We start from the raw sequence: 27,737 nt of genomic DNA, 5'->3' as shown, positions 1-27,737 counted from the left end.
CTTGGTCCCCCAAAGTGCTGGGATTACAGGCATGAGCCACCACGTCCAGGCTGAGCCACATTTTTTTATTCGTTAGTCAGTTCACACTGTAAACATGCAAATATTCAGGCAGGGATTCCCAGAAGTGGACTTGCTGTGTCAGCAGGCACATGAGTTTATCATTCCGGTGGCCTGTGCCAGGGTGCCCTCCACCAGTGCTACACCATGGACGCACCCCACAGCCTGGCTGGCACAGAATGTCATTGCATTGTTGGATTTTTGCCAATTTGATTGGTGAAGACAAACAGTTTGTGATTTGCAGTTTTCTTATTAAGTGTGAACTTTTTTTTTTTTTTGAGACAGGTCTCACTCTGTTGCCCAGGCTGGAATGCAGTGGAGTGATCTTGGCTCACTGCAGCCTCCACCTCCTGGGTTCAAACAATTCTCCTGCCTCAGCCTCCTGAGTAGCTGGGACTACAGGCACATACCACCACACCTGGCTAATTTTTGTATTTTTTAAAGTAGAGACGGGGTTTCACCATGATGGCCAGGCTGGTCTCGAACTCCTGGGCTCAAGCGATCTGCTCACTTCAGCCTCCCAAAGTGTTGGGATTACAGGTGTAAGCCACTGCACCTGGCAAGAATGAGCATCTCTGGACATGTTGAAAAGCAGTTTCCCGCTTTTTCTTCAAGGTCTCCGTTCAAAGCCTTTGACCATTTCTTGGAGTTTGGCGATGTGAAGGACAGAGGCCGAAAAGAGGGGAAAACGTGGGGGAGTGGACTCCCAGCCTCCCAGATCCCGGAGAAGCCTCTGTGCATTTGACAGCTGTGGACATGGTGTCACACGCAGTTAAGGTGGCACAGTGAGTCGGGCTGGCATAGGTTGTACCTGGTCCACCTGACACCAGGTTCAGGTGAGGCCTTCTCCCAGCCCACCCCTCCTCAGTATCATTTTTGTCACTACTACCCCTCCAGTCTGCCTCAGGCCCCCATCTGCTTCTGGGACCTCAGCCTCCTCCCCAAGTTGCCCACCCCAGACACCAGGCTCACTCCAGAGGGACTTCTTGAGCCAGTGCCCCTCTGCCCACGCACCTGCCTTGGCTCCACATGGACCTCTTCCCCCACCACCAATTCCTTCTATCCTCTCCACTCCTAACCATGCTATCCCAGCCAGCTACATTTTCCCAAGCTGCTGGGAGCCCTCCTCACTGTCCCCTCCAGCATAGAGGTGCCACTGTGCAAGAACTCAGTGGGAGAGGCTTGGAGGAGCTTGGAGAGCCAATGATAGGTTTGGGGAATCTTAGTGAACTCCTACTCATGCGTTGAAGCCCCAACTGTAATGCCTCCTCCTCCAGGAAGCCTTCCAGGACCCTGTCTTTCCCTCTGGACCTTCCTTAACTGCATGGGACTAGGAGTGTCTATGTCCAGCTCTGTCCTCTCTTAAGATAGCTCCTTGAGGACCTGGTCAGGGCTGAGGCCTCTTGGGGGCCCAGCGTGGGTGATGCTTGTTGAATGAATAAATGACTGCATGAGCTGGGAACCAGCCAAGCTGAGATCAAGAAGCGAGTTGATGAGGTGGCAGTCGGTTGGGGTGCTAATAGAGGACATGAAGTCACTGGGTTCTAGCAAGAGGGAAGCGGGACTCTGGTCCACCCCTCCCTCTTGCCCTCCATCCACCTCTGGTGAGAACCTTGAGGCCCTGCAAGGGGGCGGATCTCTGTCTTCATTCTTCCCCTCTGCACTCCACCCAGACACCAGTTCCTCTTCCCCCTGAGTCGCTGGGTGCAGAGCCAGAGGAACGCCAGCGACCCCAGCAGCGCTGCGGACGGTGCTGGCCGTGGCCGCTGCGGCCCCCGTGTCCAGGTGGGCCAGGACGCAGCCTCTGGGCGCCGTCGCTTTTCCAGCATCGCAGAGGCAAAAGCGTGGCAGTGGGACCCAAAAGGTAGGACTGAGGCTCTAGAACTTGCACCTGTGCAGGGACTGCAAACCAGACCTGGGAGGACCCTTTCAGCAGCCCCCACTCCACCCTATCCCAGGACTTCCCAGCGACCCGCCGTTCTGGGAGATACCGGGAGCGTGATCAGGGGGCGGGGCCGTTTCCAAGGCAACCGCTTATTTGCATAGGGTCCCGTCCTGGCCAACGAGGGCGCCCCAAATGTTCAGGACATAGAAGAAGGGGTTAACTGGCCCGGATCTCCTCCTCGCCTTCCAAGCCCGCTAAGCACTGGGGTTATCTACCCATTCCCCAGAAGGGGAGACTGAGGCAGCCCACCAGCCAAAGGAGGCGACCAGACTGGGGCTGCGTTTTACCATTTCAGAAGCGGCTTGAGCTGGTCTGAGCTATAATAATAAACACTGGCGGTGGAGGCGAGGGCGACCACAGGGCTGAGGTCAGGGCTAGGATTCCGGTGTCTCTACGTAGGTTGCTTGAATGGGGGGCACCCTGGCATGGACGCTGCTGTTGCCGCTGCTGCTGCGGGAGTCAGACAGCCTAGAACCGTCGTGCACCGTGTCCTCCGCGGATGTGGACTGGAACGCGGAGTTCAGTGCCACGTGCCTGAATTTCAGTGGCCTCAGCCTGAGCCTGCCTCACAACCAGTCTCTGCGGGCCAGCAACGTGATTCTCCTTGACCTGTCTGGGAACGGCCTGCGAGAGCTTCCAGTGACCTTCTTTGCCCACCTGCAGAAGCTTGAGGTCCTGAACGTGCTACGCAACCCCTTGTCTCGTGTGGATGGGGCGCTGGCCGCCCGCTGTGACCTTGACCTGCAGGCCGACTGCAACTGTGCCCTGGAGTCCTGGCACGACATCCGCCGAGACAACTGCTCTGGCCAGAAGCCTCTGCTCTGCTGGGACACAACCAGCTCCCAGCACAACCTCTCTGCCTTCCTGGAGGTCAGCTGCGCCCCTGGCCTGGCCTCTGCAACTATCGGGGCAGTGGTGGTCAGCGGGTGCCTGCTTCTTGGACTTGCCATCGCTGGCCCTGTGCTGGCCTGGAGACTCTGGCGATGCCGAGTGGCCAGAAGCCGGGAGCTGAACAAACCCTGGGCTGCTCAGGATGGGCCCAAGCCCGGTTTAGGCTTGCAGCCACGGTACGGCAGCCGGAGCGCCCCCAAGCCCCAAGTGGCCGTGCCATCCTGCCCCTCCACTCCCGACTATGAGAACATGTTTGTGGGCCAGCCAGCAGCCGAGCACCAGTGGGATGAACAAGGGTAAGTAAGCCACTGAGACACCTGCCAAAGTGGTGAATAATAAGGCTCCACACCCAGATGGCCGAGGTTCAAATCCCAGCTCTGCCGCTTGAAGGCTGTGGGATCTTAGGTGAGTAGCTTTACTTCTCTGAGCCTCAGTCTCCTCACCTATAAAATGGGGAGAGGACTGGACATGGTGGCTCACACCTGTAATCCTAGCACTTTGGGAGGCCAAGGCAGGCGGATCACTTGAAGTCAGGAGTTTGAGACCAGCCTGGCCAACACGGTGAAACCCAGTCTGTACTAAAAATACAAAAATTAGCCAGGTGTGGTGGCGGGCGCCTGTGGTTCCAGCTACTGAGGAGGCTGAGGCAAGAGAATCTCTTGAACCTGGGAGTCAGAGGTTGCAGTGAGCCAAGTTCATGCCATTGCACTCCAGCCTGGGTGACAGAGTGAGACTCCATCTCAAAAATAAAATCAATAAAATAAAGTAAAATGAGGGAGAATTACAGCCCCCATCATAGTGTGTTGGGGTAAGAATTAAGTGAGTTCCCATATATGGGACAAACTTCCCCCCCTTATGACCTGTAAACCCAGTTTCTGGCGGCCAAGGATGGGGAGACAGGAGGCAACTGCTTGAGCGGAGTTGGGGCTCCGCGGTGGCGGTCAGCAGCATAGGCCCAGGTCCCATGTGACCCAAGGCTGTCTCTGAACCTCCATTTCTGTCTCCATAGAGTGGGGACAGCCCCCCATTTCCCCATGACACACATGAGATACTAAAGAGGTGCCCTACAAAGTCCCATCACCACTAGATGATTTTTTTTTTTTTTTTTTTGAGATGGAGTCTGGCCCTGTCATCCAGGCTAGAGTGTAGTGACACGATCTCGGCTCACTGCCAGCTCCGCCTCCCGGGTTCATGCCATTCTCCTGCCTCAGCCTCCCGAGTAGCTGGGACTACAGGCGCCCGCCACCACGCCAGGCTAATTTTTTGTATTTTTAGTAGAGACGGGGTTTCACCGTGTTAGCCAGGATGGTCTCGATCTCCTGACCTCGTGATCCGCCCACCTCAGCCTCCTTAAGTGCTGGGATTACAGGTGTGAGCCACCGCGCCCAGCCGACATTTTTTTTTGAGACAGTGTCATTCTGTCGCCCTGGCTGGAGTGCAGTGGCACCATCACAGATCACTGCAGCCTCAAGCTCCTGGCCTCAAGTGATCCTCCTGCCTCAGTCTCCAGAGTAGTTGGGACCACAGGCACATGCCGCCGCACCCAACTAATTTTTGTATTTTTCATAGAGACGGGGGTCTTGCTATATTTCTCAGGCTGGTCTCAAACTCTTGGCCTCAAGTGATCCTCATGTCTTAGCCTCCCAAAGTGCTGGCATTATGGGTGTGAGCCACCGCCACCGGCTTCTGGATGATTTTGCTGGGCTTAGACAAATGAGTTGAACTTTTCTAGGTTGGTGTGGGGTGCGGTGGCTCATGCCTATAATCCCAGCACTTTTCGAGGCCAAGGCGAGGTCAGATCACCTGTGGTCAGGACCTCAAGACCAGCCTGACCAACATGGTGGAACCCTGTTTCTACTAAAAAATACAAAAATTAGGCCGGGCACGGTGGCTCATGCCTGTAATCCCAACACTTTGGGAGGCCAAGGCAGGAGGATCACGAGGTCAGGAGTTCGAGACCAGCCTGGCCAATATGGTGAAACCCTGTCTCTACTAAAAATACAAAAATTAGCCGGGCATGGTCGTGGGTGCCTGTAATCCCAGCTACTTGGGAGGCTGAGGCAAGAAGAATCACTTGAACCCAGGAGGTGGAGGTTGCAGTGAGCCCAGATCGCACCACTGCACCCCAGCCTGGGCGACAGAGCGAGACTCCGTCTCAAAAAAAAAAAAAAAGAAAGAAAGAAAGAAAAAAAGAAAAGAAAAGCTTTTCTAGGTTGGAAAAGGGAATGGAGGGAATTTCAAGGGGTGGGACCCTCAGGGGCAGAGACCCAGAGGTGGGAAAGAACAGAGAATTTGCTGTGAATGGTTTTTGAGAAGGGATGACTTGAAAGCTGAGGCCTGAGGGGAACAGGGAGGGCCAAGCAGGAAGGGGCCGCGGCCATGGCTGTGTTTGGGCAGCAGAGTCCGTGCCAGGAGGTGGGGAGGCTATCGGAAGGCTGTTGGTGAGAAAGGAGAAAATATGCAAAGCAGATGTCAACATGGCTCAAAAGCAGAAATGGTCTGAGGCAGGGTGTTGAAGACACTGGACTCGCAAAAGCAGCTTGTGCTCTGATGTTCATCTTGGCCTCCCTGTCCCCGAGGCTTCCGGATCAGCCTCCTTTATGTACTGGCCTCCAGAAACACTGTGTTTAGAATTGACTGTGTCATTTCCACCCTGCATCTTACAGTTACAGACATGGAGGCTCTGGGAGGCAGGGAAATGACTTGTCCAAGGTCACATAGCCAGTCAAAAAAGGCAGGACACAAACCCTGCGTCCCAGACCTGTTCGTCCCCCTACAACCACTTAGGGGTTGGTGGGCAATTCGTACTAGAGTATAATTGACTGATAGATGCTGTTAACACAAAGTAGCCCTTTTGCCTTTTTTTTTTTCCCGCTCTGTCGCCCAGGCTAGAGTGCAATGGCATGATCTCGGCTCACTGCAACCTTCACCTCCCGGGTTCAAGTGATTCTCCTGCCTCCTGCCTCAGCCTCCCGAGTAGCTGGGATTACAGGCGCCCACCATCACACCCGGCTAATTTTAGTAGAGACGGGGTTTTGCCATGTTGGCCAGGCTGGTCTTGAACTCCTGACCTCAGGTGATCTGCCCACCTTGGCCTCTCAAAGTGCTGGGATTATAGGCGTGAGCCACCGCACCTGGCCCAGTGGCCCTTTTTACAAGAGGAGCTGGGTTGGAATTAGAATGTTCAGGAGGCAGGAAAATTCTCTGGAGGTCTTGCTGACCATAACAAATATTCCTAAGTAGCTACCTGCTCCTTGACCAATTCTATAGATGCAGAAACTGAGGCTCAGAGACTTGCTTTTATATATGAGGGCCACAAAGTCAGTTGCTTCAGTGGTGAAAACATTTCCCATCGGAAGGAGCACAGAGTGTGGGTGCAGCCACTTGTGTGCATGTGACTGACGTGGCCAGAGCTTCCGATTTTTCAAGAGGAAACAAAAATTTAGATTTTAATGTAATAATGAACAGCTACCTCAATTTCTGTTTTTTTTGAGACGGGGTCTCCCTCTGTCATCCAGGCTGCAGTGCAGTGGTGTGATAACGGCTCACTGTAGGCTCGACCTCCTGGGCTCAAGCGGTCCTCCCACCTCAGCCTCCCGAGGAGATGGGACTCCAGGCACACGTCACCACGCCTGAATAATTTTTTAATTTTTTGTAGAGATGGGGTCTCACCCTGTTGCTCAGGATGGTCTCAAACTCCTGGCCTCAAGCAGACCTTCTGCCTTGGCCTCCCAAAGTGCTGGGATTACAGGCATGAGTCACCGCGCCTGGCCGCTATCTCATTTTTAAGGAAGGAAAAAGGGTTCAGGGTCCTCAGACCGCAGCGTTACACCCACAGAACCTTCCCTAAATCACTGCCCTCCCGCAGCCTCCTCAGAGAGAGGTGGGGTTGGCTAGGAGTCAGAACGCTAGCCCGTGCCAGTTTCCCCATATGTAAATATTCGGGGTGGACTGAGCCACTCTGAAGCTTTCTTTTTTTTTTTCCTTCTGAGATAGAGTCTTGCTCTGTCTCCCAGGCTGAAGTGCAATGGCACGATCTCGGCTCACTACAACCTCTACCTCCTGGGTTCAAGTGATTCTCCTGCCTCAGACTCCCGAGTAGCTGGGACTACAGGCCTGTGCCACCATGCCTGGATAATTTTTGTATTTTTAGTAGAGACGAGGTTTCATCATGTTGTCCAGGCTGGTCTTGAACTCATGATCTCAGGTGATCCACCCACCTCAGCCTCCCAAAGTGCTGGATTACAGGCGTGAGTCAGAGCACCTGGCCCACTCTGGACTTTCTCAAAGCTCATGTGCCTGTCCCCTGAGTCCTCCCCCTCCCACACTTACCCCTGGTCTGTCTGTCCCCCCAGGGCTCACCCTTCAGAGGACAATGACTTTTACATCAACTACAAGGACATCGACCTGGCTTCCCAGCCTGTCTACTGTAACCTGCAGTCACTGGGCCAGGCCCCAATGGATGAAGAGGAGTACGTGATCCCCGGGCACTGAGCCTAAGATGTCCTAACCTCCACCCAGAACCCCTTCAGTCCCTGCTGGGTGACTCAGGGCGTCCTAACGCCTCCATGGCCTCAGTTTCCCCATCTGAAGAATGGGTACAGGAAAGGATTGTCCTTGAGGCCCCAGGAAGCTCTGCCGCCCCCTCCCTGTCCCTCATGCCGCTCCTCAGCTCCCTCAGCTCCTAGAGGGGGAAGAGGAGAGACCCCCAACAAGGGGACAGGACGGTCACTGTGCCAATCCTGTCATCACCCTCCTGTGGATGTACAGGCAGTGCTCAATAAATGCTTCGAGGCTGATGAGGCTGCTGGCTCAGGGTGCGTGGGTTCCTCAAGGTGGGGATTTCTGAGTTCTAAGACCAAGTCTCCATCTGAGACTCCCAAATTGCTCCCCACCTCCCATCCCTGTTTTTTTTTGTTGTTGTTGTTTGTTTGTTTGTTTTTGAAACTGAGTGTCACTCTGTCACCCAGGCTGGAGTGCAATGCTGCGGTCTCAGCTCACTGCAACCTCCGCCTCCTGGGTTCAAGTGATTCTCCTGCCTCAGCCTCCTGAGTAGCTGGGATTACAGCACCCGCCACCATGCCGAGCTAATTTTTGTATTTATAATAGAGATGGGGTTTCGCCATGTTGGCCAGGCTGGTCTCGAACTCCTGACCTCAAGCGATCTGCCCGCCTCGGCCTCCTGAAGTGCTGGGATTACAGGCGTGGCCACTGCGCCCAGGCACATTCCTCCCTTCTGCCCCTCTCAGGGCCCCTTCCCAGGTCCCTGATCTCCAGGCTTGGCCTCCAGAGCAGCCCACACCAACCCCAAAATAAAAAAATGTATATATTCCTTTAGCTCTAATATTCTGAGAAAATCTTTCAAGACCCTGGTGCAATGCCACCTCCTTTGAGAAGCTGTCCCTGGTTTCTTCTCAGGCAGAGTTAATGACTCACAGATGTCTGTATTTCAAGAGTTTTTTCAGGCTCATGCCTCAACTGGGTTTCCTATCAGCTGGTCCCAGCCCAATCCTCCAACCTGGGGGAGATAGAACTAGAGACAAGTACCCTCAGTCCTGGGAGATCAAGCCTGGGCCAAAGGGAAGAATGGGAGCACAGTCCCCACATGGAGACAATTGAATGAGTTTGAATAAGGCTGCATGTAAGAGGGGAATCTGCAGTGGGTTTTGAAGGATGCATAGGAGTTTGAGAATTGGAGAGGAAAGGGCATGCTGGCTGGGTGGACCAACTTGTGCAAGAGCCTGGAGAAGCACAGAGAAGGCACAGGCCCAGCCCTATACCTTGCAAAGGCAACAGCTGTTGTTTGGGGAAAGACTCAGTGACACCATCTGCTGCCTTTTGGTATTGAGTTTAATTTTGAAGCCTCCTAGGTGCCCATTTTCAACAGCTTTGCTGTGACTGAAGTGAGCCTGCTCCCATCTCAGGGCCTTTGCACTTGCTGTTTGCATTTACTTGCAATGTCCACCCTCAACTACCCCCTCCCCGACTCCTTTTCTTCCTCCAGGTCTCAGCTCAAATGTGACCTCCCTCCCCAGGGAGGCCTCCCCATCCAACTATCTAGATCACCTCTGCCTCCGTTCACTAATGAACTGATGGGTTGAATCCCCAGCACAAATCTTACTGCAATCAACTACTTTCTTAGGATTTACTCATTTGTCCCCTTCACTCAACCAGGCTCCGCAAAGTGGGGTGGTCCTTGTGTGTCTTTTTACAGCTGTGTCCGGGGCCTGGCATAAAGTGGGCACTCACTGAATACGTTAAGGGGAACCTGCAGTCATTCAGGTTGGCCTGTGGGTGATGGCATTCCCAGCAGATACACCTCACTGCTGGAAGTGGGTACTCTGTCCCTCAAGACACCCATCGCCATTCCTCTCAGAGATTCAGGATGGGCAGGCAGTTTGGTGTGGAGAGGGGGCTGGACTCAGCACACCTCAAAATTCCAACATCCTAAACAGGAAGTATATATAACCTGGGAGATGTGGTGTGCATGAAAATATTCTTCACAACTTATTTGTTTCTCCCTACTCTTTATATGTGAAAGAATGAGGTGTCACTAACATGGAAGTGCCACAAACAGGAGGGGTGATGGGACTAACCCCTCAGGTTGGGGACAGTACCACAAAACAAGGCACTTGGTTGCAGATAGACTTGGCTCTGAGCTGCCTGTGTTTGGAAAGGTGACTCCCAAGTGGGGAGAGCAACAGGATGGTGATAGAGACAAAGACAGAGACAGATCCTCTGCCTCAGACCCCAAAGAGAGAAGTTTTGAGGAATGAGGAAAGATGGAGGGAAGCTGAGACTTAAAAAGGTATGGGGTCTCAGCTGTTTCCAAAACAGAAACACCAGCCTGGGCAACATGGCGAAACTCAGCCTCTACAAAAAATACAAAAGTTAGTTGGGCATGATGGCATGCACTTGTAGTCCCAGCTACTCAGGTGGCTGAGGTGGGAGGATCGATTGAGCCCGGGTGGTTGAGGCTGCAGTGAGCTGTGATTGTGCCACTGCACTTCGGCCTGGGCAACAGAGTGAGACCCCGTCTAAAAAAAATAAAAAGAAAAAAGAAACAGCAATAAGGAGATAGAGAAATAGAGACAGAGAGTCAGGGAGTCAGGAATGGCCAAGGCTGCCCTTAGAGCCCACAGGTGTCGTAAGCACCTTCCAATGGCTTGGCATCTCCGAGAACACCTTGCCACTCATTCCTTGAGCCTTTCCACTTACCCCCTCCCAGGTCTCCTAGAGAAACTGAGGTCAGGGAGAGGAGGATCTTCTCAAGGTCACCTTCCCTTATCCTGGACACCACAGGGAACAGTTCAGACAGCTTTATTTTTATCACCAGAGTTTTAAATAAATACACAGTTCCATCAGACCAGCCCCCGAGTCCCCAAGAAGGTCACCCCAATAAATTAATAATAAATAACAGACTTATATAAATACAGCTGTTTGGGCAGGAATCGGGTGTCTCAGGAACCTTGAGCCCATTCCACAGGGCAGGACAACTGAGGTCGCGTCCTCCGCGCAGGTGCACAGTGGAAGGACCAGGACTGCTCATATGCAGTGGCAGTCTTTGGCTAACAAGTCATCATAGGTCTGGAGCGACACCCCGGTGTCGGTCTTTTGAATGAGCACCATGGGATTGTAGCTGGCGGGCACGCAGCAGGGCGCTGGCACCGTGTCGGGCTTCAGGCGGTGCAGGCTCGTCTTGATCTGCGCGTGCATGTTTGCCGCCCGGAACTGGCTCGGGCACGCGCCGATGCACATGGTCACTTGCACCTCCCGTGGCGACAGCACCCAATCGGCCCAGCCCAGGTCTTCCAGCGACGCGCGGACCGTGTGCAGACGGCAGCAACGCCCGGGCCCGAGCGGACAGTGGTCCCCGTTGCGCGCACGCGCTCTGCGGCGCCCCCTGGCGGCTTGCGGCCGCAAGTGCAACTCCAGCTGGGGCCGTGCGGACGAAGATTCTGCCAGCAGTTGGTCCGACTGCGACGGCGGCGGCGACAGTCGCAGGTGCAGCGCGGGCGCCTGGGGTCTTGCAAGGCTGAGCTGACGCCGCAGCGGTCGTGTCACGTCCCACGACCTTGACGCCGTCGGGGACAGCCGGAACAGAGCCCGGTGAAGGCGGGAGGCCTCGGGGAGCCCCTCGGGAAGGGCGGCCCGAGAGATACGCAGGTGCAGGTGGCCGCCGGATCCCAGCCGCACTGTGGGAAGACAGATAGGGAAGCTGGTCACCCACAGGCCTACCGTTTTCCAGGAACGAGGGTGCCCATTTCCCCTAACACGCCAAGCTGGATCTCACCACGGCGGCGGCGCCTTTGCACAAGTTATTTCCCCTACCAAGAGCATTTCTCCGTGCGGGCGCGGTGGCTCACGCCTGTAATCCCAGCACTTTGGGAGGCCGATGCAGGTGGATCACTTGAGGTCAGGAGTTCAAGACCAGCCTGGCCGATATGTGGCCAATATGGTGAAACGCCCGCTTCTACTAAAAATACCAAAAATTAGCTGGGCATGGTGGCTGGCGCCTGTGATCCCAGCTACTCGGGAGGCTGAGGCAGAAGAATGGCTTGAATCGGGGCGGTGGAGGTTGCAGTGAGCCAAGATCGTGCCACTGCACTCCAGCCTGGGCAACAGAGGAAGACTCCCTCTCAAAAAAAAAAAAAAAAAAAAAAAAAAGGGCATTTCTCCCCTTGAATCTCCTGAATCTCAGTATGGCTGGCTCCTCCTCTTCCTTCCAGCCTGCCTAAAATAGGAAGCACCCTATTTTATTTCCTTGTGTATCATTCATATTCCCTACTTAGAATCTTAGCTTGGTTGACACTGTGCCTGGCACACAATAGGTGCTTAGTAAATACTTGAAGGAATTAATGTATATCTGATATTCAGGCAGCCTGAGATTCCAACCATGGCTCTGCTTTTCTTCTGGCAGTCAAAAACTTACTTGCTTCACTTATTTATTTATTTATTATGGTCTTGCTGTTACCCAGGCTGGAGTGCAGTGGGGCACTCATGGCTCAGTGCAGCCTCAATCTCCTGGATTCAAGTGCTCCTCCCGCCTCAGCCTCCTGAATAACTGAGACTACAGGCACACACCATCATGTCTGGCTAATTTTTTTTAAACATTTTTGGTAGAGATGGATTCTCGCTATACTGCCCAGGCTGCAATGTTCTGGCCTAAAGCGATGCTCCCACCTTGGCCTCCTAAAGTGCTGGGATTACAGGTGTAATCCCGAGAAATGAAGAGTGCCAAACCCATCACATTCCAGACTACTGAGCCTCTAGGAATCACAGCCCCTCAGGCTGGTACAAGTGTTAGGGAGACTGGGGAGACTGGGGTTTGAGGGTGCCTTAACCTAGTTGCTAGGCTTAGCAAGGGTGAGAGGTTTGCCGGAGTCACACGGCACAGATGGGTTTAGGGCGGGCTAAGAGTGTGCCCCTCTGCCTGCCCCCTCCTGGGTCCCACCACAGCCCAGACCTCATCCAGTGCCCTGCACCCCTGGAGCCTCCATGGAGGGCACAGAGATGGGGAAAATACTCTCCTCCTCCCCTAACAAGTCGCTCGTTGCATGTGACTTTAGCAGTGCCTTGACAAGCGATTTCATCAGATTCAGAACCAGCTCCAGCTGGCTCTGCCCATCACAAACTTCTATCCATGCACCACACCCCCATTGTTTCTCTTGGATCCTGGCCCCAGCCCAGGTCAGGGACCATGCCCACACCGCACGCCCGACCCCGTCCCCGGGTTTCCCAGGTGCTGTGCACATTCAGGAGGGTCCCTGGCATCCCTGTACCTCAGTTTCCCCATTTGCAACTTGGGGACAGGTTATAACCTCCCACGTTGTGGGTGCAAATCAGGCATCGGCTACCCCATCAGACCCAAGGGGATCCAGGATATTCCTACCCAGGGCACAGATGGGGCAACTGAGGCTCAAAGGTAGGTCTGGGCTTTTCAAGATGAGGAATCCCTGATTAGATATGGGGGCTGCTTGGGGGGTGGGAGGGGATCTCTAAGATTTCACTTACCTTCTGGCGTGAGTATCCGGACTGCAGGGGCCGGGACGAGGTCGGTGTTCGAATCTTCCCAGCTCTGGTTGGCCCGCAGCCTGGTTAGCAGGTCCTCGTAGCGTTTCCGCAACTCTCGGAATCTGGAGTCTTCGGAGTGCAACTCTGAGGGTCCCGGGAAACTTGCGCGGCTCGCCTCGGCCAGAGACAGGGCGCCCCCATGCGGCAGCCACGAGAGCACCAGCAACACCAGGAGCATCTGAGAGCCATTCACCGTCCTGAGTTCTTGCCCGGGCATGGCTGTGCAGGTTGCGGCTCTGAGCTGGGACTGACCAGATGCTGCCGGACCGGCCTTTATAGTCCCCGGACTTTGTCCGTCTCCGCCTGCTCAGTCCCGCCCTCCTCCCCCTGCCTGCAGAGTAAACACTCCAATGACCACAGCTGGGCGGGGTCTGGGGGTGTATTTAGGGGGAGGATCTTTAGGTGGGGGCGCTCCTAGTAAAGCTAGGGCACATTTCTGGGCCTCAGTATCCTCTTCCTCGATATGAGGACACCATTCCAGCCTGGGAGTCTTTTTGGAGGAAAAAAAGACATTGTTACTATGTGAAAAATTCCAGACAAGAGTTTAAGAGGTGGCTGTCTATGCCCATGGGATTTCCTCTCTTCTCTTTTTGGTTGGGGTCAAAGGCTAAAGATGGTGAAAAACAAAGGAAGCAGAGGAGAACGGGCTAGATGGAGCCAGGAAGGGCAACCTTGATGTGTCATGCCTCTCTGCCATGCCTGTTTCCTCACCAGGAAAAAAAGGACTGAGACTCTCACTGGAGAGGTGGTCAAATGAGGGGTAAAGCACAGGGCCAGACACATAGGAGGCACTTGATAAACTGGGTGTTATTGCAGTTACTCATCCTCCTCTGGAGAACTCCTACTCATTCTTCAAAACTCTACGCAAAAAGCCCCTCTTCCAGGAAGTCTTCTCCAACATTATCTTTCCAGTCTAAGCAGGGTGCTCCCAAACCCCATCCTTTTGTCTGGCTCAGCGCTCACCTTGAAGCCATCCTCACAGGATTCATAATTCTGGGGGCCAGGCATGGTGGCTTATGTCAGTAATCTCAGCACTTTGGGAGGCCGAGGTGGGTGGATTGTTTGAGCCCAGGAGTTCGAGACAAGTCTGGGCAAGATGGCAATACCTCATCTCTAAAAAAAAGAATTCTGCGCCGGGCACGGTGGCTCTCGCCTGTAATCCCAGCACTTTGGGAGGCCGAGGCACGTGGATCATCTGACGTCAAGAGTTCTAGACTAGCCTGACCAACATGGAGAAACCCTGTCTCTACTAAATATACAAAATTAGCTGGGCTTGGTGGTGGGATTACATGCCTGTAATCCCAGCTACTCGAGAGGCTGAAGCAAGAGAATCGCTTGAACCCAGAGGGCGGAGGTTGCAGTGAGCCAAGTTTTCACCATTGCACTTCCGCCTGATCAACAAGAGCAAAACTCTGTCTCAAAAAAAAAGAATTCTGGACAGAAACTTAGTTATAATTAAGCACTAATCAGGCTGCACTTTGACCCACTTCCTTGTGACCGCAAGTTGCTTGTAGCACCTGATACCGACCATTTGCTATAGATGTGATTTCCGACCTTAGAATCATAAGACTTTTTAGAAGAATTTCTTAAGATGTTTTTGAAATCCTTAACCAATGACACCCACCAGTGTGAAGACCCCACAGAGGAACGGAATCTGCATGAGAATACAGTTTCTTACTGTCTGTGACTTCACCTCCTGCACTCTTTCACCAAGCAATGACCTCCACACTTCAGCCCACTCCAAAATCCTTAAAAATTAAAACTCTAGCCCCTGGCCAGGTGCAGTGGCTCACGCCTGTAATCCCAGCACTTTGGGAGGCCAAGGCGGGCGGATCACCTGAGGTCAGGAGTTCGAGACCAGCCTGACCAACATGATGAAACCCTGTCTCTACTAAAAAATTTCAGAAATTAACCGGTCGTGGTGGCACATGCCTGTAATCCCAGCTGCTCGGGAGCCTGAGGCAGGAGAATCGCTTGAACCCAGGAGGCGGAGGTTGCAGTGAGCTGAGATCATGCCATTGCACTCCAACCTGCAAGCTCCAGCTCCCAGGTTCATGCTATTCTCCTGCCTCAGCCTCCTGAGTAGCTGGGACTATGAGCACCCCCCACCACGCCTGGCTAATTTTTTTTTGTATTTTTAGTAGAGATGGGGTTTCACCGTGTTAGCTAGGATGGTCTCAATCTCCTGACCTTGTGATCCGCTGGCCTCGGCCTCCCAAAGTACTGGGATTAGAGGCGTGAGCCACCACGGCCGGCTGACTCCATCTTAAAAAAATATATATATTTGTATATATACATTTATATGGCCCCAAACTCCTCCTCCTGGAAATGGATTTGAGGTTCCCTCCTATCTCCTCATTGGGTGGCCCTAGGATTAAATCTCTTTTTTTTTTTTTTTTTGAGACGGAGTTTCTCTCTGTCCCCCAGGTTGGAGTGCAGTGGCACAATCTCGGCTCACTGCAACCTCCGCCTCCTGCCTCAGCCTACTGAGTAGCTGGGATTACAGTCATGCGCCACCACACCTGGCTAATTTTTGTGTTTTTAGTAGAGACGGTGATTCACCATGTTGGCCAGGCAGGTCTCGAACTCTTGACCTCAAGTCATCCGTCGGCCTCTGCCTCTAAAGTGTGGGGATTACAGGCATGAGCCACTGCCCCCAGCCTTTTTTTTTTTTTTTTTCTTCCGAGACAGTCTCTCGCTCTGTTGCCCAGGCTGGAGTGCAGTGGTATGATCTTGGCTCACTGCAACCTCCGCCTCCCAGGTTCAATTGATTCTCCTGCCTCAGCCTCCCAAGTAGCTGGGATTACAGGTGCGCACCATCACGCCTGGCTAATTTTTGTATTTTTAGTAGAGATGAGGTTTCACCTGGTTGGCCAGGCTGATCTTGAACTGCTGGCCTCAGATGATCCACCCGCCTCAGCCTCCCAAAGTGCTGGGATTACAGGCATGAGCCACCACGCCGGTCGGATTAAAACTCTTTCCATGTTGCAACCTGTTTTCTCAGCTGTTGACTTGCCAAGTGCATGGAGCAACAGACCTATCACAGTTACAGCCCCACGGCACTGGAAGTGTCTGTGCCCAGCTCTGCTGACCCAAGACTGGTGGTTCCTTTGGGGCAGGGATGAATCTGCTCTTGTCTGGGCCCAGAGAGGAGGTGGCACAGAATTGAGGAGCTGGGGTTTTAGAGCAGGGCAGGCTGGTGTAGAGTCCAGCCACCAGATGGTAGAGGGGCAGGGGATGCCCCAGGAGTGCCCTTCCCCCTGGGGTTCCAGACCTTCTCCTAATGCTCAGGCAGGATTCCTGGCCCCAGGCGTCAGCCCTTGTGCCTATGTCCAGCTTCCTGGCTGCGGAGAGGAAGGGCTGCCCTGTCCGGCAGATACTGGGTGTGTGTGGGTGTCTGCATGTGACAGGCATGCGTGGGTAAGAGACACAAGGACTCACTAGGGGGTCACACAGCAAGGCCCCCAGTGGAGTCACAGGGTCTCCAGGCCTCTCCCCACCCCAGCATGCACCCGCTGCTGTGCAAGGCCAGCCAAGCCTCCAGCCCTCAGGGTCTCAGCCACAGCCCTGTCCTAGGGGATTTTTTTCTTTTTTTTGGATTGGAGTCTCGCTCTGTTGCCCAGGCTGGAGTGCAGTTGTGCGATCTCAACTCACTACAATCTCCGCCTCCCGGGTTCAAGCAATTCTCCTGCTTCATCCTCCCTAGTAGCTGGGATTACAGGCGTGTGCCACCATGCCTGGGTAATTTTTGTATTTGTTGTAAAGATGGGGTCTCACCCTGTCATGTTGGCCAGTCTGGTCTCGAACTCCTGATCTCAGGTGATCCGCCTGCCTCGGCCTCCCAAAGTGCTGGGATTACAGGCATGAGCCACCACGCCTGGCCCCCAAATAAGAACATCTTTAAAGAAAAAGAAAATAGACGTGGGGGCTGTCCTGGGGGTGGAGGTCTCAGAGCTCACCTGTGCTTTTGGATGAGGTTGGGGCCCAGCTCCTCCTGGCTCTCCTTGTCTAACTGGTGCTCTGAAGGTCCTGGTGGCGTTTCTGCAACTCCTGGGACCTGGAGTCATCCGGATCAGAGTGCTTGTCCGAGGGTCCTAGGAACCCCAGAAGGTTCTCACCTGCAGAGTCAGGGTGCCCCCTCAGGGTGCCCCCAACAACATCTGTAACATCAGCAGCATCTGAGAGCATCGCTGTGTCACGGGTCCTGGCCTGGGCATGGCTGTGCTAGTTGCTTTCTGAACCGCACTGACACCTGGGGTCTGGCTTTATAGCCCGCACGTTCCTACCCAGCCATCCCCCACTACACCAGACCCTGTAAGCAGAGTAAACACTCCAGTGACCACGGCCAGGCCAGATCTCAGGAATGCATTCCTGCACAAGCTGGGGCGCCTCTCTGACCCTCTGTATCCTTTCCCAAGAAATAAGGACACCAGGCTGGGCGCGGTGGCTCGTGCCTGTAATCCCAGCACTTTGGAAGGCCGAGGTCAGGCGGATCACGAGGTCAGGAGATCAAGACCATCCTGGCTAACACGGTGAAACCCCCTCTCTACTAAAAATACAAAAAAATTAGCCAGGCATGGTGGTGGGTGCCTGTAGTCTCAGCTACTCGGGAGGCTGAGGTGGGAGAAAGGCGAGAACTCGGGAGGCGGAGCTTGCAGTGAGCCGAGATTGCGCCACTGCACTCCAGCCTGGGCGACAGAGCGAGACTCCGTCTCAAAAAAAAAAAAAAAAAAAAAACACCTGGTAGTCCTTTTTTTTTCTTTTTCTTTTTCCTTTTTCTTTTTTTTTTGAGACAGGGTCTCGCTCAGTTGCCCAGGCTGGAGTGCAGTGGCACAATCTTGGCTCACTACAGCCTTGATCTGCTGGGCTCAAGCAATCCTCCCACCTCAGCCTCCTGGGTAGCTGGGACTATAGGCATGTGCCACCACACTCAGCTATTTTTTAAAAAAATTTTTTTTAGGCTGGGCACGGTGGCTCATGTCTGTAATTCCAGCACCTTGGGAGGCCAAGGCAGGCAGATCACCTGAGGTTGGGAGTTTGAGACCAGCCTGACCAACATGGAGAAACCCCGTCTCTTCTAAAAATACAAAATTAGCCGGGCATGGTGGCGCATGCCTGTAATCCCAGCTACTCGGGAGGCTGAGGCAGGAGAATTTTGCTTGAACCTGGGAGGTGGAGATTGTGGTGAGCTGAGATTGCACCATTGCACTCTAGCCTGGGCAACGAGAGCTAAATTCCATCTCAAAAAAAAAAAATTTTAGAGATAGGGTCTCACTGTGTTGCCCAGGCTGGTCTCGAACTCCTTGGCTCAAGGAATCCTCTTGCCTCTGGCTCCCAAAATGCTGGGGTTATAGGCATGAGTCCCCACACCCAGCCAAGCTGGTAGTCTTTTTGGAGATCAAGGCTGCAGTGAGCTGTGATTACGCTTCTGCACTCCAGCCTGAGCAACTGAGCAAGACCCTGTCTCAAAAAAAAAAAAAAGGACTACCAGGCTGGAATGGTGAGAAGCAGGACAGTAAGTAGTGTACTTTTTGTTTCTGTTTTTGTTTGTTTTAGAGACAGGGTTTGGCTCTGTTACCCACTCACTGCAGCCTCGACCTCCTGGGCTCAAGGGATCCTGTCACCTCAACCTCCCGAGTAGCTGGGACTAGAGGCGCGTGCCACCACAACTGGCTAATTTTATATTTTGTAGAGACGGGGGTCTTGCTATGTTGTACAGGCTGGTCTCGAACTCCTGAGCTCAAGCATCCTCCTTCCTTGTCCTCTCACAGTGCTGGGATCCTGTGATGGCATGAGCCACCACATCTGGCCACTCGCCTGGCTCTGCTTCCCCAAATCTTTAACCAATGACCTCATAGCCCGCCTCATGGCCAAGCTGAGAGGAGAGATGGGGCGGATGCAGGCAGGTGGCCAGAGATGAGCTCAGCAGGTCGGATCCTGTGTTCCTCACCGACAGCTTCCATGGGTCCCCAGAGGTGGAGCTGGGATGGAAGTAAACAGAGCACAGGGGCCGGAGGTCAGGCCAGTCCGTCCACCTGGCAGGGCCCCAATCTCCCAAAATCTCCCCCCTCCACTACCAGCTCTCAGTTATCAACGCCTTTGTCAAACACACGGCACTCACGAACACAAACCACTTTTATTGATTGTTTCTTGTGATGTAAGGTAAACAGGGTCATAGGAGGAGATTTGGAAGAGGCACAAAAGCAGATTACTTAAAAACTTCCTGCAGGCCCCGAGGACAAGAAGAAATGCTGTCTCATGCTCGTGACTGTCCTCGAAAGCCAGGATGTGCCTGTGCCATCTAGGGGGTTCCGCAGCCAGCCCGGGTTCTTTTTGTTTTCTGTTTGTGTTTGTATTTAGACACAGGGGTCTCACTATGTTGCCCAGGCTGGTCTCAAACGGCTGAGTTCAAACGATCCTTCCATCTTGGCCTCCCAAAGTGTTGGGATTATAGGCATGAGCCACTGTGCCTGGCCATGGGTCCACTCTTTTTATGTTTTTATTTTCGAGACAGAGTTTCACTCTTGTTGCCTAGGCTGGAATGCAGTGGCGCAATCTCGGCTCACTGCAGCCTCCCAGGTTCAAGTGATTCTCCTGCCTCAGCCTCCCGAGTAGCTGGAATTACAGGTGTGCACCACAACGCCCAGCTAATTTTTTTTTGTATTTTTAGTAGAGACGGGGTTTCGCCATGTTGGCCAGGCTGGTTTTGAACTCCTGATCTCAGGTGATCTGCCCACCTCAGCCTCCCAGAGTGCTGGGATTACAGGTGTGAGCCACTGTGCCCAGCCACAGGTCCATTCTTAATTCAGAATGATCTCAGTACAAGATCTTTAGTTTAATTACATTTGCAAAGACCTTCTTTCCAAATAAGGTCACAGATACTGAGCGTTAGGACTTGGACATATCTTTTTTTTTTTTTTTTTTCTCTGAGACGGAGTTTCGCTCTGTCACTCAGGCTGGAGTGCAGTGGTGCAATCTTGGCTCACTGCAGCCTCTGCCTCCCGGGTTCCAGCGATTCTCCTGCCTCAGCCTCCTGGGTAGCTGGGATTACAGGTACATGCCACCATGCCCAGCTAATTTTTGTATTTTTATTAGAGACAGGGTTTCACCATTTTGGCCAGGTTGGTCTCGAACTCCTGACCTTAGGTGATCTGCCTGCCTCAGCCTCCCAAAGCGCTGGGATTACAGGTGTGAGGCACCACACCTGGCCTAATCTTTATACAGCCTGATGTGGTGGATAGATTATGTCCATTTCACAGATGACAAACTGAGGCCAGAGAGGTGGGCTCGTCACGGCCACACAGCCAGAAGACAGCAGGGCTGGGGTTAGAGCCCCAAGCAGCCAGCCGCTGAGCCTGTTCCATCTCCCTCAGAGCCTCTGAAATGAGAGGATATGGCCACCCTAACAGGCCAGCATGAGATGAGATTTTCGCCAGCACAGCATGGGGCCTGTGGTTCTCCTGCAATACTTGGGCAAGGTGGAAAGAATGCAGTCTCAGAAAAGGGACACCCTGGCTGAACACAGTGGCTCAGGCATGTAATCCTAGCACTTTGGGAGGCCAAAGCAGGAGGATTGCTTGAGGCCAGGAGTTGGAGACCAGCCTGGGCAACACAGTGAGACCCCAAGACCCCATCTCTTTTTTTTTTCTTTTGAGACAGAGTCTCGCTCTGTTGCCCAGGCTGGAGTGCACTGGCGCGATCTTGGCTCACTGCAACTTCCACCTCCTGGGTTAAAGTGATTCTCCTGCCTCAGCTTCCCGAGTAGCTGGGATTACAGGCATGTGCCACCATGCCCAACTAATTTTTGTATTTTTAGTAGAGACAGGATTTCACCATGTTGGCCAGACTGGTTTTGAACTCCTGACCTCAAGTGATCCGCCCACCTCGGCCTCCCAAATTGCTCAGATTACAGTCGTGAGTCACCGTGCTGGCCCTCTAAAAATTGTTTTTAAAAAGGCATTTTCCTCACCAGGTGACTTTTATCTGCACCTCTTCAGAGACGAGGTGAGGTTAAAAACACCTGTGAGCATGTCAACCCACTCCCAAAAAGTGCTCCATCAATGAACACTCCATCAATGAGAGTTTCTTCTTTTTTTCTTTTTCTTTTTTTTTTGAGATGGAGTCTTGCTCTGTCGCCTAGGCTGTCGTGCAGTGGCGCGATCTCGGCTCATTGCAACCTCCATCTCCCAGGTTCAAGCAATTTTCCTGCCTCAGCCTCCCGAGTAGGTAGGATTACAGGCACCCACTACCATGCCCGGCTAATGTTTGTATTTTAGTAGAGAGGGGGATTTCACGATGTTGGACAGGCTGGTCTCGAACTCCTGATGTCAGGTGATCCGCCCACCTCGGCCTCCCAAAGTGCTGGGATTACAGGTGTGAGCCACCGCGTCCTGCCTGTTTTGTTTCTTTTTAGACAGGGTCTGGCTGTGTAGCCCAGGCTGGAGTGCAGTGGCACAATCATAGGTCACCGCAGCCTCGACCTCCTGGGCTCAAGTGATCCTCCCCCATCACTCTCCCGAGTAGCTGGGACTATAGGCATGTGCCACCATGCCCTGATAATTTTTTACTATTTTGTAGAATGGGGTTTTCCTGTGTTGCACAGGTTGGTCTCGAATGGCTGGGCTCAAGTGATCTTCCCACCCCAGCCTGATGCCACTGTGCCTTGCTTTTTTTTTTTTTTTTTTTTTGTGAGATGGAGATTTACTCTTGTTGCCCAGGCTGGAGTGCAATGGCGCCATCTCGACTCACTGCAGTCTCCACCTCCTGGGTTCAAACGATTCTCCTGCCTTAGCCTCCCGAGTAGCTGGGATTACAGGCATGCACCACCATGCCCAGCTAATTTTTGAATTTTTAGTAGAGACGGGGGTTTCACCGTGTTGCCCAGGCTGATCTCGAACTCCGGACCTCAGGTGATCCACCCGCCTCGGCCTCCCAAAGTGCTGGGATTACAGGCGTGAGCCACTTCACCCAGCCAGTGCCTTGCTAATTTTTAAAAAAATTTGTAAAGATGGGATCTCGCTATGTTGCCCAGGCTGGTCTTCAAATCCTAACCTCCAGCGATCCTGTCACCTCGGCTTCCCAAAGTGCTGGGATTACAGGCATGAGCCTCTGCACCTGGCCTAATTTCTGCCTTTATAGATTTACCTATTCGGAACATTTCACAGAAATGGAATCTTACAATATTTGTACTGTAGTTTCGCCTTGATGAAGAATGCTGCTGTAAAAGTGGGTGTACACGTTTTTGTTTGAACACCTGTTTTCATTTCACTTGGCTCTCTACTGAGGAGTGGAATTACTGGGTCACAGAGTAACCCTGTATTGAACTTAATGGGGAACTGCCAAACCTTTTCCTCTCAGTTTTATTTGTCATTGTGAAATCTTTCAGGCACACACAAAAGTATTAATAATAAAATCACAAACACCCCTATCCAGCACCCACCTAAAGAAAAATCATTCCCAAGAGAGTTGAAGTGGTCCCCGTAGTCCAAGGCAGGTTCTCCCCAATCTCAAGGAAGTCTTTGTCTGTAATTAGAACTTGATCATGACCACGCATGTTTTAATTTCATATATATATTTGGGGAACAGGTTTATTTATTTATTTATTTATTTTATTTATTTTATTTTTTTTTTGAGACAGGGTCTCGCTCTGTCGCCCAGGCTGGAGTGCCGTGGCACGATCTCAGCTCACTGCAAGCTCCGCCTCCCGGGTTCACGCCATTCTCCTGCCTCAGCCTCCCGAGTAGCTGGGACTACAGGTGCCCGCCACCATGCCCACCTAATTTTTTGTATTTTTAGTAGAGAGGGGGGTTTTGCCGTTTTAGCCAGGATGGTCTCGATCTCCGGACCTCGTGATCCACCTGCCTCGGACTCCCAAAGTGCTGGGATTACAGGCGTGAGCCACCGGGCCCGGCCGGAATACAGTCTTTGCAAAAAAAAAAAAAAAAGCGGTTTGGAAAACTATCTAAACAAAGAGATGGCTACTGCCTTCCATAATTAAAAACAGAAACAAAAATCACAAAACTCTCAGGAAGGTGGAGAATCTGATTTCTGGAGTTACCATAATTTAGAATATTCAAATGCTCGCTTTTCAACAACAAAAACATCACTAGGCATACAGAGAAACAGCAAAGTGTGGCGCATTTTAAGGAACAAAATTAACAGACAGAAACCATCCCTAAGGAAGCCCACACATCAGACTCACTAGACAAATACTTTAAAATAACTGTCTTCGCTGGGCGCGGTGGCTCACGCCTGTAATCCTAGCACTTTGGGAGGCTGAGGCAGGTGGATCCCCTGAGGTCAGGAGCTCAAGACCAGCCTGACCAACATGGAGAAACCCCGTCTCTACTAAAAACACAAAATTAGCCAGGCACGGTGGTACATGCCTGTAATTCCAGCTACTCGGGAGGCTGAGGCAGGAGAATCACTTGAACCCAGAAGGCGGAAGTTGCTGTGAGCCAAGATCACACCATTGCACTCCAGCCTGGGCAACAGAGCGAGATTCCATCTCAAAAACAAAAAATGAAGAAGAAGAAGTTTGACACCAGCCTGGGCAACACGGCGAGACCTCATCTCTACAAAAATAAAAGTAATTAGCCAGGTGTGGTGGCGCATGCCTGTAGTCCCAGCTACTTGGGAGGCTGAGGTGGGAGGATTGCTTGAGCCCAGGAGGTAGAGGCTGCAGTGAGCTATCATTGTACCACTGCACCCCAGCCTGGGTGACAGAGCAAGACCCTGTCTCTAAAAACAAAAACCACAAAGTTTTTGCCAAGGAGCCATACTTTGGAGTATCACATTCTGAGTCCTGACAGCCTCCAGAAGGAACCAGTCCTGCTGTGACACCTTGATTTCGGACTTCTGGCTTCCAGAACTCTGAGAGAAGTCCCTGTTCTTTTAGGACATCAAGTTTGTGGTCAGTATTATGTAAACAATGTCATCTGCTGCCCATTTTTATCTCTGGTGGGTTTTTTTTTTTTTTTTTTTTTGAGACAAGAGTTTCTGTCTGTCACCTAGCCTGGAGTGCAATGGCACGATCTCGGCTCACTGCAACCTCTGCCTCCCGGGTTCAAGTGATTCTCCTGCCTCAGCCTCCCAAGTAGCTGGGACGACAGGCATGCGCCACCACACCTGGCTAATTTTTGTATTTTTAGTAGAGATGGGGTTTCACCATGTTGGCCAGGCTGGTTTCGAACTCCTGACCTCAGGTGATCCATCTGCCTTGGCCTCCCAAAGTGTTGGGATTACAGGCGCGAAGCACCGCACCTGTCCTTTTTTTTTTAGACAGAGTCTCTCACTGTCATCCAGGCCTCGGCCTCCCAAAGTGATGGGATTGCAGGCGTAAGCCACTGCGCCTGGCCCCTGTCCAGCTAATTTTTAAATTTTTTTGTAGAGACCGGGTCTCACCACGTTGCCCAGGCTGGTCTGGAACTCCTGACCTCAAGTGATCCTCCGACGTTGGTCTCCCAAAGTGCTGGGATGACAGGCATCGGCCACCATGCCAGGCCTCTTTTCAATTTCTTGATGGATATATTGACATCCAAAAGTTTGAAATTGTGATTGAGTCTAATTTGTTGTCCCCTCCAAATCCCCAAGTTTTCATCTTGTCCTTGTGGAGGGCAGGTTTTACGTTGCCAGCCAGTTAAGGCCAAGACTCGGTTCTCCTGCCTGCTTCTCCCCAGCCATGACCTTCTGTCCTTTCTGGGCCTCTGGCCTCGGTCAGGTGCCCTTCCCTCCCCCTCTTCCCCCCCGCCCCCACCCCCGTGCTCAGCAGGGAAAGCGGACCGTGGCAGCTGAGTATGAGTCAGCAGGGCTGGGACCATGGGGGGCGGAAGTGGTGGGCTCAGCCTCAGGGACCGGCTGTGCGAGTTCCTGCATAAACTGGCCAGGAAGTGGTCAGCTGAGGCTTCCCCCACGTGCTTGCTGCCCGGAACCCATTGGCCGAGTAACCCTGGGCCTCCCTCTTCACGCTCCACATTAGCAACCCAGTTCACACGCTCGCTCCCATCATAATTCTACTGTCCACAGTGTGTATTTATGAAGCACCTACTGCATGCCAGGCTCTGGCTGAGCTCGGATACACAGCCCTGTGATGGGGGTATGGAGATCTGCTCTGAGTCACAGGGGTAAACTGAGGCTCGGAACAGGGCAGCTCTGTGCCTGAGTTACACAGCACAGCACCTGGGTGACCTAACATCCCAAATCGTCATCCTCAGCTGGCTAAGTCCCTCTCTGTGTCTCCGTGTCCTCACCCTAAACAAAATATCTGGAGAATTTCCACTTTTTCTCTTTGTGTCTCTCTCTCCCTGGCTCTCCCTCCATTTCTGCCTGTCTCTCATCATGTCTATCTCTGCCTGTCTCTGCCTCCCCACGCCCTTATCAGCACCATACAGGGAAGGGAGAGGTGACAGCCTCACCCACCCCTCCCTGCTTCTAGGGGACTTGGACATGTCCGGGCAGGTCTGAGGCACTCCTGGTAAAAACTGGTGATTGCCTGGAGGCAGGGAGCCAGAACCCGAAAGAGAGGGTGGGAAGGTGGAAGACGTGTGGGGGGACTCAGTTGGGATTTCTGGTGCTGTACTTTGCCCCCTTACCCCCACCCCAGGCTGTCATCACACTGAGGATGTCTTGAGACCACTGCAGCATCTTTCCCAAACCTTGGATTTTGAGGGATGCATAGGAATCCTCCAAGCATCGATAAGGGCTTTGGGGAGGGTGGTTCTGGGAAGAGGAAGTAGGGGATATTGAGACTGCTGGGGGTCAGCAGAAACAAGGGAATGGGGTTCAAATGCCCAGTACAGAAATCCTATTTCCTGTAGGCGAAAGGGAGCCACAGAGGGTGTGAGAGGCTCAGCAGTTGGAATGGAGTGGAAGGGCAAGAATGGAGGCCAAGATCCTCATCTTTTCATTTTTATTTTATTTTTTTAGATACAGGGTCTCACTCTGTCACCCAGGCTGGAGTACAGTGGCACGATCTCAGCTCACTGCAACTTCTGCTTCCCAGTTTCAAGGGATTCTCCTGCCTCAGCCTCCTGAGTAGCTGGGATTACAGATGTGTACCACCATGCCTGGCTAATTTTTGTATTTTTAGTAGAGATGGGGTTTCACCTTGTTGGCCAGGCTGGTCTCAAACTCCTGACTTCAGGTGATCTGCCCACCTTGGTCTCCCAAAGTGCTGGGATTACAGGTGTGAGCCACTGTGCCCAGTCCACAGCTACTTTATAAGATTTATTTTTACTTTTGTAGAGATAGAATCTTGCTATGTTGCCCAGGCTGGTCTGGAACTCCTGTGCTCAAGTGATCCGCCTGCCTCGGCCTCCCAAAGCACTGGGATTGCAGGTGTGAGACAACGCACCGGGCCGACCTGCTCCTTTGAGTAAGGCTGGGAGCACCCAGGCGAGGGCGGAGGGGGCCTCTAGGGGATGGAGCCTCTTGCAGCCTCTCAGCCATATCCTGGGATGATCCTTGGACCCTTTAACTGCCTGTGCAGCCCTCATCCCAAGGGGGGACCTCCAGGCTGTACTCCCAGCTGCCTGATCCTTGCTGTGTCCCCAGTCCAGGGCTCAGCCCACAGTGGACACTTCCTGAATGACTGGGACAGCCACGGGGTGAGGGGCCTCCTTAGGTGGGGACCCCAGACTGCAGGAGGAGCCTGGTGATTCCAGCATCTTTCACTCCTGGGAGGAGGCATTGGTGCCTTGCTGAGCCCCTGGCTGGCCTCAGGAGTGGACCCACAGCACTCACCTCTCCTCCCAGCAGTTTATTGCTTCCCTACTGTGTCCCTGGCACTGTGCTGGGCACAGAAGACACAGAGGGGGCCCCACACATACCCATCCACCCTCTCACAGAGGCTGTCAATTACCACCCAGAGTGCTACAATGGGGACACCCAGGCAGCTGTAGGAGTCAGAGGAGATGCCTAGGTAGCCAGGAGGGCTTCCTGGAAGAGGAGGTGATGGTAACTGTATTTATTTTGTGGGGTTTTTTTTTTTTTGAGACGGAGTCTCATTCTATCACCCAGACTGGAGTGCAGTGGCGCGATCTCAGTTCACTGCAACCTCAGCCTCCCTGGTTCAAGCGACTCTCCTGCCTCAGCCTCCCGAGTAGCTGGGATTACAGGTGTTTACCACCATGGCTGGCTAATTTTTGGATTTTTAGTAGACATGGGGTTTCTCCATGTTGGCCAGGCTGGTCTCAAACTCCTGACCTCAAATGATCCATCTGCCTTTGCCTCCCAAAGTGCTGGGATTACAGGCATGAGCCACCGCACCCGACCGGGTTTTTGTTTTTGAGATGGGGTCTCACTCTGTCACTCAGGCTGGAGTGCAGTGGCACGATCACCACTCACTGCAGCCTTGACCTCCCCAGGCTCAGGTGATCCTCCCACCTCAGCCTCTTGAGTAGCTGGGACTACAGGTGTGCGCCACTGCACCTGTCTAATTTTTGTATTTTTTGTAGAGATGGGGGGGGGGGGTCTCACCATGTTGCCCAGGCTGGTCTCGAACTCCTGACCTCAAGTGATCCACCCGCCTTGGCCTCCCAAAGTGCTGGGATTATAAGCGAGAGCCCACACCCTGATCATTGTATTTACTGAGCAATGACAGGGCACCAGGCTCCAAGTTAAGGGCTGTAAAAGCAGAATCTCATTGAATTGCCACAAAAGCCCCACGAGAAATGGGTAAACTAAGGCTCAAGACAGCAAAGGGACGGGTATGGTGGCTCATGCCTGGAATTCCAGAGCTTTGGGAGGCCGAGGCAGGTAGAGAACTTAAGCC

The 27,737-nt window shown here is 52.9% G+C and overlaps 2 protein-coding genes and 1 non-coding gene across 4 annotated transcripts, besides 7 other annotated features; 1 reads left to right on the top strand and 2 right to left on the bottom strand.

Annotated features, from left to right (window-relative positions):
• Positions 1-1,751: 1,751 nt before the first annotated feature.
• Positions 1,752-8,237, top strand: LRRC25 (leucine rich repeat containing 25). Of its 2 annotated transcripts, XM_005259739.5 has the most exons (3): positions 1,752-1,921; positions 2,402-3,189; positions 7,249-8,237. In XM_005259739.5, exons 2-3 carry the CDS (start codon positions 2,411-2,413, stop codon positions 7,385-7,387), a joined length of 918 nt encoding a protein of 305 aa, XP_005259796.1. In that variant the 5' UTR covers positions 1,752-1,921; positions 2,402-2,410; the 3' UTR covers positions 7,388-8,237. The 2 variants fall into 2 exon arrangements, with proteins under 2 accessions (XP_005259796.1, NP_660299.2); NM_145256.3 differs by having other exon boundaries at positions 1,752-3,189.
• A 1,960-nt stretch (positions 8,238-10,197) lies between these two features.
• Positions 10,198-13,216, bottom strand: GDF15 (growth differentiation factor 15). Its single transcript, NM_004864.4, has 2 exons — positions 12,908-13,216; positions 10,198-11,088 (listed from the first exon to the last, which is right to left on the bottom strand). The coding sequence occupies exons 1-2, from the start codon at positions 13,182-13,184 to the stop codon at positions 10,439-10,441; spliced, it is 927 nt and encodes a 308-aa protein (NP_004855.2). The 5' UTR covers positions 13,185-13,216; the 3' UTR covers positions 10,198-10,438.
• Positions 12,740-12,812, bottom strand: MIR3189 (microRNA 3189). Its single transcript, NR_036156.1, has one exon. It is a non-coding gene; the product is annotated as a microRNA 3189 (primary transcript).
• Positions 12,850-13,672: an enhancer, noted in NCBI's record as "H3K4me1 hESC enhancer chr19:18496512-18497334 (GRCh37/hg19 assembly coordinates)". NCBI's record gives its function as "activates a minimal SCP1, AML or CMV promoter by ChIP-STARR-seq in naive and primed H9 embryonic stem cells {active_cell/tissue: H9 hESC(naive and primed)}" and the evidence as "EXISTENCE:reporter gene assay evidence [ECO:0000049][PMID:30033119]".
• Positions 13,092-13,261: an enhancer, noted in NCBI's record as "active region_14316". NCBI's record gives its function as "activates an Ori minimal core promoter by ATAC-STARR-seq in GM12878 lymphoblastoid cells {active_cell/tissue: GM12878}" and the evidence as "EXISTENCE:reporter gene assay evidence [ECO:0000049][PMID:35858748]".
• Positions 18,365-18,932: an enhancer, noted in NCBI's record as "H3K27ac-H3K4me1 hESC enhancer chr19:18491252-18491819 (GRCh37/hg19 assembly coordinates)". NCBI's record gives its function as "activates a minimal SCP1, AML or CMV promoter by ChIP-STARR-seq in primed H9 embryonic stem cells {active_cell/tissue: H9 hESC(primed)}" and the evidence as "EXISTENCE:reporter gene assay evidence [ECO:0000049][PMID:30033119]".
• Positions 23,647-23,874: a silencer, noted in NCBI's record as "fragment chr19:18486310-18486537 (GRCh37/hg19 assembly coordinates)". NCBI's record gives its function as "represses an EF-1alpha promoter that drives an FKBP-Casp9 reporter gene in an ReSE screen in HepG2 liver carcinoma cells {active_cell/tissue: HepG2}" and the evidence as "EXISTENCE:reporter gene assay evidence [ECO:0000049][PMID:32094911]".
• Positions 24,723-25,922: an enhancer, noted in NCBI's record as "MED14-independent group 3 enhancer chr19:18484262-18485461 (GRCh37/hg19 assembly coordinates)". NCBI's record gives its function as "activates an origin of replication core promoter dependent on BRD2, BRD4, P300/CBP and CDK7 cofactors, and independent of MED14, by STARR-seq in HCT116 cells {active_cell/tissue: HCT116}" and the evidence as "EXISTENCE:reporter gene assay evidence [ECO:0000049][PMID:35650434]".
• Positions 25,241-25,535: an enhancer, noted in NCBI's record as "tiled region #10546; HepG2 Activating DNase matched - State 5:Enh, and K562 Activating DNase unmatched - State 1:Tss". NCBI's record gives its function as "activates a minimal TATA promoter and a strong SV40 promoter by Sharpr-MPRA in HepG2 and K562 cells {active_cell/tissue: HepG2 | K562}" and the evidence as "EXISTENCE:reporter gene assay evidence [ECO:0000049][PMID:27701403]".
• Positions 25,292-25,511: an enhancer, noted in NCBI's record as "active region_14315". NCBI's record gives its function as "activates an Ori minimal core promoter by ATAC-STARR-seq in GM12878 lymphoblastoid cells {active_cell/tissue: GM12878}" and the evidence as "EXISTENCE:reporter gene assay evidence [ECO:0000049][PMID:35858748]".

This window comes from Homo sapiens, chromosome 19 (assembly GCF_000001405.40).
Source record: "Homo sapiens chromosome 19, GRCh38.p14 Primary Assembly".
Taxonomy (NCBI): domain Eukaryota; kingdom Metazoa; phylum Chordata; class Mammalia; order Primates; family Hominidae; genus Homo; species Homo sapiens.
The sequence above is the reverse complement of the archived record's forward strand: the minus strand, read 5'-3'. Positions and strand labels throughout refer to the sequence as shown.